The sequence below is a fragment of the Homo sapiens genome, chromosome X, assembly GCF_000001405.40.
Source record: "Homo sapiens chromosome X, GRCh38.p14 Primary Assembly".
In the NCBI taxonomy this organism is placed as follows: Eukaryota; Metazoa; Chordata; class Mammalia; order Primates; family Hominidae; genus Homo; species Homo sapiens.
In genome coordinates, this window is record NC_000023.11 from 63,402,854 (window position 1) to 63,409,619 (window position 6,766).

General features: G+C 36.6%; 1 annotated feature.

Moving 5' to 3' along the window:
• Positions 4,964 to 5,778: an enhancer, noted in NCBI's record as "OCT4-NANOG hESC enhancer chrX:62627697-62628511 (GRCh37/hg19 assembly coordinates)". NCBI's record gives its function as "activates a minimal SCP1, AML or CMV promoter by ChIP-STARR-seq in naive and primed H9 embryonic stem cells {active_cell/tissue: H9 hESC(naive and primed)}" and the evidence as "EXISTENCE:reporter gene assay evidence [ECO:0000049][PMID:30033119]".

Sequence of the window (6,766 nt, forward strand, 5' to 3'; positions counted from 1 at the left end):
ACTCCTCTCACTAGGTCTCACTTCCCAACACTGCCATACTGGTGTTCGAAATCCAGAATAATTTTTGGTGAGGGGAAACCATATCTAAACCATATCAATTCCTAAGTAAGTTTTTTTTTTCTTTTCCAATTGAGAATGGAATTGCTCTGGTAGCCTTTTTTGGATTCTTTATTGTTAATGTAAAGAAATGCCACTGACATTTGTTTAATGATTTTTTTTCTTGAGTTTTTTTCTCTTGTAGTATTTTTATCTTACTTTGTTTTGAGAGCAATCCTGGCTTCCTAGAATGAGTTAGAAAATGTTCCCTCCTCTTCACATTGTTGAAAGAGTTTGAGAAAGATTGATGTTATTTCTTTAAACATCAAATAGAATTGACCAGTAAAGACATCTGGTTCAAGAATTTTCCTTGGTGGAATTTTTTTTTTTTTTTTTTGAGGCAGAGTCTTGCTCTGTGGCCCATCCTGGAGTGCAGTGGCACCATCTCGGCTCAGTGCAAGCTCCACCTCCCGGGTTCATGCCATTCTCCTGTCTCAGCCTCCCAAATAGCTGGGACTACAGGCGCCTGCCACCACACCTGGCTAATTTTTTTGTATTTATAATAGAGACAGGGTTTCACTATGTTAGCCAGGATGGTCTCGATCTCATGACCTCGTGATCCACCTGTCTCAGCCTCCCAAAGTGCTGGGATTACAGGTGTGAGCCACTGCACCTGGTCCCTTGGTGGAGTTTTAAATAAATAATTCAATCTCTGTTGGTTATAGGTCTATTAAGATTTCCTATTTTTTCTAAGTTAGCTAATGTAATTTGTGTGCTTCTAGGAATTTGTCCATTTCATTTAGATTATCCAGTTTATTGGTGCATAATTCTTCATAGTGATACCTTATAATCCTTTTTATTCCTGTAAAATTGGTTGTAAAGTCTCCCCCTTCATTTATGATTCTAGCAGTTTTATTCCTCTCTACATTTTCTTAGTCTCTCTAAAGATCTGTCAATTTTGTTATCTTTTGGAAGAATGAACTTTTGGTTTCACTGATTTTTCTCTATTGCTTTTTCATTCTTAATTTTAATTTCCTCTGCTTTAGTATTTATTATTTCCATCTTACTAGCTTTCAATTTAGTTTGTTTTATTTCTTATTTTCTTAACATGTACATTTGGATTATATATTTGAGACCTTTTTTCTTTTTAAATATGTTTACAGCTAAAAATTTTCTTCTGATACAGTTTTGCCAATGCACCATAATGTAGTAGTCTCTTGTTCTGAGATATCACCTGAAGTTTTTTGTTTCAGGACCGAGAGAGTTAAGGATTGTGGACACAAAGTGTGAGGTTGGAGCAAAAGTTTAATAAGCTAAAGAAAAAAGCTCTCTGCTGCAGAGAGGACCCAGAAGAGGGTTGCCATTTTTACAGTTGAATGCAAAGGCTTTTATAAGAAATCAGTGAGGGCTGGGCATCTCATTTGCATAAGGTGCAAATTTCTGGTAGCTCCAGCCCATCCTCCCAGTGCATATGCAGGCCCTTCGCTTGAGTTACTCCATGCTGCTTTTTTACCCTTTCCTGAGCATGTGTTAGGGGACAAAATTTTCCACTGTGGGCATGTCTGACCAAGTCACCTGTGTAGCCTTTCTTATCTGTGCAGCTGTGAACATGTCTTAGACAAGCCTCCCTGTGCAAGTTCTCTCATCTGTGCCTGCAGGCTGTTCTTTTGTTTGAAAGAATTCAACCAAAGACCCACCCTAACTGCCTTCCAAACAGGTTTCTTCCTCTCTCCTCTCTCATTAACACTTTTGCCTCTTTACCTTATATTTGTGGTGTTTTTTTAGTTTTATTCATTTCAAGGTATTTTAAAATTTCCCTTGAAATTTCTTCTTTGGCACATTGCTAGTTTAAAAGTGTATTGTTTATTACCCTCATATTTGTGACTTTTCCAGTTTTTCTTCTGCTATTGATTTCTAGTTTCATTACATTGTCATCAGGAAAGATAATTTTCATTTTTTCAATATTTTAAAATAAATATATTAAGACTTTTCATATGGCCTAACATAATTTATCCCAAAGAATGTTTTATGTGCACTTGAGAAAAATATGTTTTCTGTAGTAAAGAGGAACATTTTCTGTATGTCCTTTAAGTTTAATTGGTTCATAATGTTATTTAAGTCCTGCATTTTCTCGTGGTTCTTCTTTCAGGTTTTTCCATCCATTATTGCAAGTGAGATGTTGGAGAGTCTTACTACTATTTCAGAGCTCTCTACTTTGTCCTTTGATTCTGTCACTTTTTGCTTCATGTATTTTTGGAGCTTTGATGTTTTGTGCATGTATATTTCTATTATTTTACTTTCTTGGTGAATTTGCCCATGTATCAATATATAATGCCCTTATTTGTGTCCTATAACATATGCTGACTAAGATTCTATTTTGTCTGACATTAGTATAATCAACCCTGCTCTCCTTAGGTAACTATTTGCATGGAATATTGTTGTTCATTCTTTCACTTTTAACCTATGTATGTCCTTAGTACTAAAGTGAGTCTCATGTAGACAACAGATAGCTAGATTGAGTGTTTTTAAAAGTCCATTTATAATCTCTGAAACTTTTAAATATTTAATTGTTACATATTTGTACATATTTATGGGGCACATGTAATATTTTGGTACACAGATAAAGTGAGCAATGATCAAGTCATGGTACTTAGAATATTACTTCACCTCAACTGTCATTTCTATGTTTTGGAAGCATTTCAAGTTTTTTTCTTACAGCTATTTTAAGATATACAATACATTGCTGTTAATTATAGTTGTGCTAATCTGCTATCAAACATTAAGATTTATTCCACCTATCCAACTGTATTTACCCATTAACCAAACTCTCTACATATCCCCCTCAAACACAGCAATCCCAGCCTCTGGTAATAATCATTTCCTCTAACTCCATGAGGTCAACTTTTGTGGTTCCCACATACGAGTGAGTACATGTGATTTTTTTTTTTTCTCTGCCTGGCTTATTTCACTTCACATAATGACTTCCAATTCAATCCATGTTGCTGCGAATGACAGAATTTTATTCTTTGTTATGTACAAATAGTATTCCATAGTGTATACATAGTATATTTTCTGTATCCATTTATCTGTGAATGGACACAGATTGATTTCTTATCTTTGTTGTTGTACGTAGTGCTACAATAATCATAGAAGTGATAATATCTCTTTGATATACTGGTTTATTTTCCTTTGGAAAACTACCTAGTAGGATTGCTAGATCATATGGTAGCTCTATTTTTACTTGTTTGAGAAATATCCATACTCTTTACCATATTGGCTGTACTAATTTACATTCCTACCAACAGTGTATAAGAATTCCCTTTTCTTGGGCTGGGTGCAGTGGCTCACGCCTGTAATCCCAGCACTTTGGGAGGCCGAGGTGGGTGGATCACGAGGTCAGGAGAGCGAGACCATCCTGGCTAACACGGTGAAACCCCATCTCTACTAAAAATACCAAAAATTAACCAGGCTTTGTGGTGTGCACCTGTGGTCCCAGCTACTCAGGAGCCTGAGGCAGCAGAATCGCTTGAACCCGGGAGGCGGAGGTTGCAGTGAGCCGAGATTGAGCACTGCATTCCAGCATGGGTGACAGAGTGAGACTCTGTCTCAAAAAGAAAGAAAGAAAAAAAAAAAGAATTCCTCTTTGTCTGCATCTACAGCAGCATCTGTTATTTTTATTTTTATAGTAGCCGTTATAATTGGGATAAGATGATATCTCGTTGTGGTTTTGCTATGCATTTTTCTGTTGATTAGTGATGTTGAGCATTTTTCCAATATCTGACAGATATTTGCATATCTTCTTTTGAGAATTGTCTATTTATTTTTTTGGCCACTTTCTAATGCGTTTATTTGATTTCTTGCTGTTGAGTTGTTTAAGTTCCTTGTGTATTCTGGATATTAGTCCCTTGTCAGATAAATAGATTGCAAATATTTTCTTCCACTTATCGGGTTGTCTGTTCACTCTCTTGATTGTTTTATTAGTTGTACAAAAGCTTTTCAGTTTAGTTCAATTTTCTATTTGTATTTTTTTTGTTGCTGGTGCTTTTGCAGTCTAAGCTATAAAATCTTTGTGTGGATTCATGTTCTAGTGTGTTTTCTCTATGTTCTTTTTAGTAGTTTTACAATTATAAGCTTTATGTTGAAGTCTTTAATCCATTTTGAATAGCTTTTTTTTAATATAATGACAGATGGGGTCTAGTTTCATTCTTCTGCATATGGACATCCAGTTTCTTCAGCACAGTTTATTGAAAAGGGTGTTCTTTCCTTAGTTTTGGTTCTTGGCACCTTCTTCAAAAGTTAGTTAGCTATATATACATAGATGTATTTCTGTGTCATCTATTCTGGTCCACTGGTCAATGTGTCTGTTTTTATACCAATACCATGATGTTTGTTTGAGTATTATAGCTGTTTTAGGTTGTGCTGCTATAAAGGAGTATCTGAGGCTGGATAGTTTTTAAAGCAAATAGGTTTATTTAGCACAGAGTTCTGTGGGTTACACACTAAACATGGAGCCAGTATTTGTTTCTGTTAAGGGCCTCAGGCTGCTTCCACTCAAGGCAGAAAGCAAAAAAGAGCCAGTGTGTGGAGATCCAATGATGAGAAAGAAGGAAAGACAGAGTGGGGGGAGTTGCCATGCTCTTTTTAACAAACAGTTCTTGGGAGAACTCTTAATAAAGCAAGAACATTCTCATTACTGTGAGTATAAAACCAAATCCTTCATGAGGCATATACCCCCATTATCCAAACACCTTCAATTAGGCTTCATCTCCAACGTTTGGGATTAATTTTCAACCTGATATATGGATGGATCAAATATCCAAACCATAGAAATAGCCTTGTCATGTATTTGAAGTCAGGAAGTGTGACGTCTTCAGCTTTTTTCCTTTTGCTCAAGATTGCTTTGGCTATTCTAGCTCTTTTTTATTACATATACATTTAAAAATTTTTCTTTCTTTTTCTGTGACAAACGTCATCGGTATTTTGATAAGAATTGCATTGAATCTGAAGACTGCTTTAAGAAATATGGCTATTTAACAATATTACTTATTCTGATCCATGAGGATGTGATGGCGTTCTAATCTTTTGTGTTCTCTTTCATTTTTTAAATCACTGTTCCATAGTTTTTGCTGTAGAGGCATTTTACCTCCTTGAATACAATTATTCCTGTGCACTATAAACAAACAAAAAAGTATTCAAAGCTCCCCATCCAACTGAATGGACCCCTCCTCTCAGCCAGAGTCTTTCTCAGGTAAACCTGAAACACTAGCCATAATATGAATGGGTGGTCAGACATGCCTTATACTTTCCTCTCTTTTTGAATTTAGGCACACCTGACCAGCATTAACATTAAAACAGAGATCTTAAGACTGCCATAACAGACTCTTTAAGTCTGAAAGGAAACATTTACAATCTATTGTCTCTGAAGCCTGCTACCTGGAGGCTTCATTTGCATAATAAGCTATTTGGACTCCACCACTTCTTAACCAAGACATTACCTTCTACGGATTCTATGTCTTTAGATAAACTCTTTCAACCAATTGCCAATCAGAAAATATTTGAATACCCCTGTTACTTGGAAAACCCAACTTTGAGTAGTCCCACATTTGGGGACCAAACCAAAGTATATCTTTATGTATTGATTGATATCTTATGTCTCCATAAAATGTATAAAACCTAGCCGTAGCTTGACCACCTTGGGCACATATTGTCCTGAGACTGTGTCATAAGCATGTCCTTAACCTTAGCAAAATAAATGTCTAAATTGATTCTTGGATACTTTTTATTTTACAGTATGTATTTTGTAGCTATTGAAAATGGTATCTTCTTGATTTCCTTTTTATAGCTAGTTCATTATTGGTGTATAAAAACACTACTGTTTTTTTATATGGTGATTTTTATTCTGAAACTTTACTAAATTTATTAATCAGATCAAAGTGTTTTTTATGAAATCTTTAGGTTTTTCTAAATATAACATTTTGTCATCTACAGAGAGGGACAGTTTAACCTCATCTTTTACAATTGGGAAGGCTTTTATTTCTCTTGCCTGACTGCTTGGGTATAATTGTAGTACTATGTTGAATAGACCTGGTAAAGTGGGCCTCCTTGTTATTTTCAAGTTCTTAGAAAGAAAAAAATATTTCCACTAAGGGAGGAGACCACCCCTCATATTGTCTTATGCCCAATTTCTGCCTCCAAAGGAAGAAAAAAGTAAGAACTGAAAGGCATAAATGAAATCCACAAGCAGAAAGCCCGGCGCCACACCCTGGGCCTGGTGGTTAAAGATCAGCCCCTAACCTAATCAGTTATGTTATCTATAGATTACAGATGTTGTATAGAAAAGCACTGTGAAAATCCCTATCCTGTTTTGTTCCGATCTAATTACCAGTGGCTGCAGCCCCCACTCACGTACCCCCTGCTTGCTCAATTGATCACAACCCTCTCATGCACACCCAAGGGTGTTGTGCATGAGTTGTGAGCCCTTAAAAGGGACAGGAATTGCTCTCTCGGGGAGCTTGGCTCTTGAGACAGGAGTCTTGCCGATGCCACCGGCCGAATAAACCCCTTCTTTCTTTAACTCAGTGTCTGAGGAGTTTTGTCTATGCTCATCCTGCTACATTTCTTTTCTCTGACTGGGAAGTGAGGTGAATGGCGGATGGTTGAGGCAGTTCCTTAGGCAGCTTAAGCCTGCCCTGTGGAACATCCCTGCGGGGGACTCTGACCAGCCCGAGTG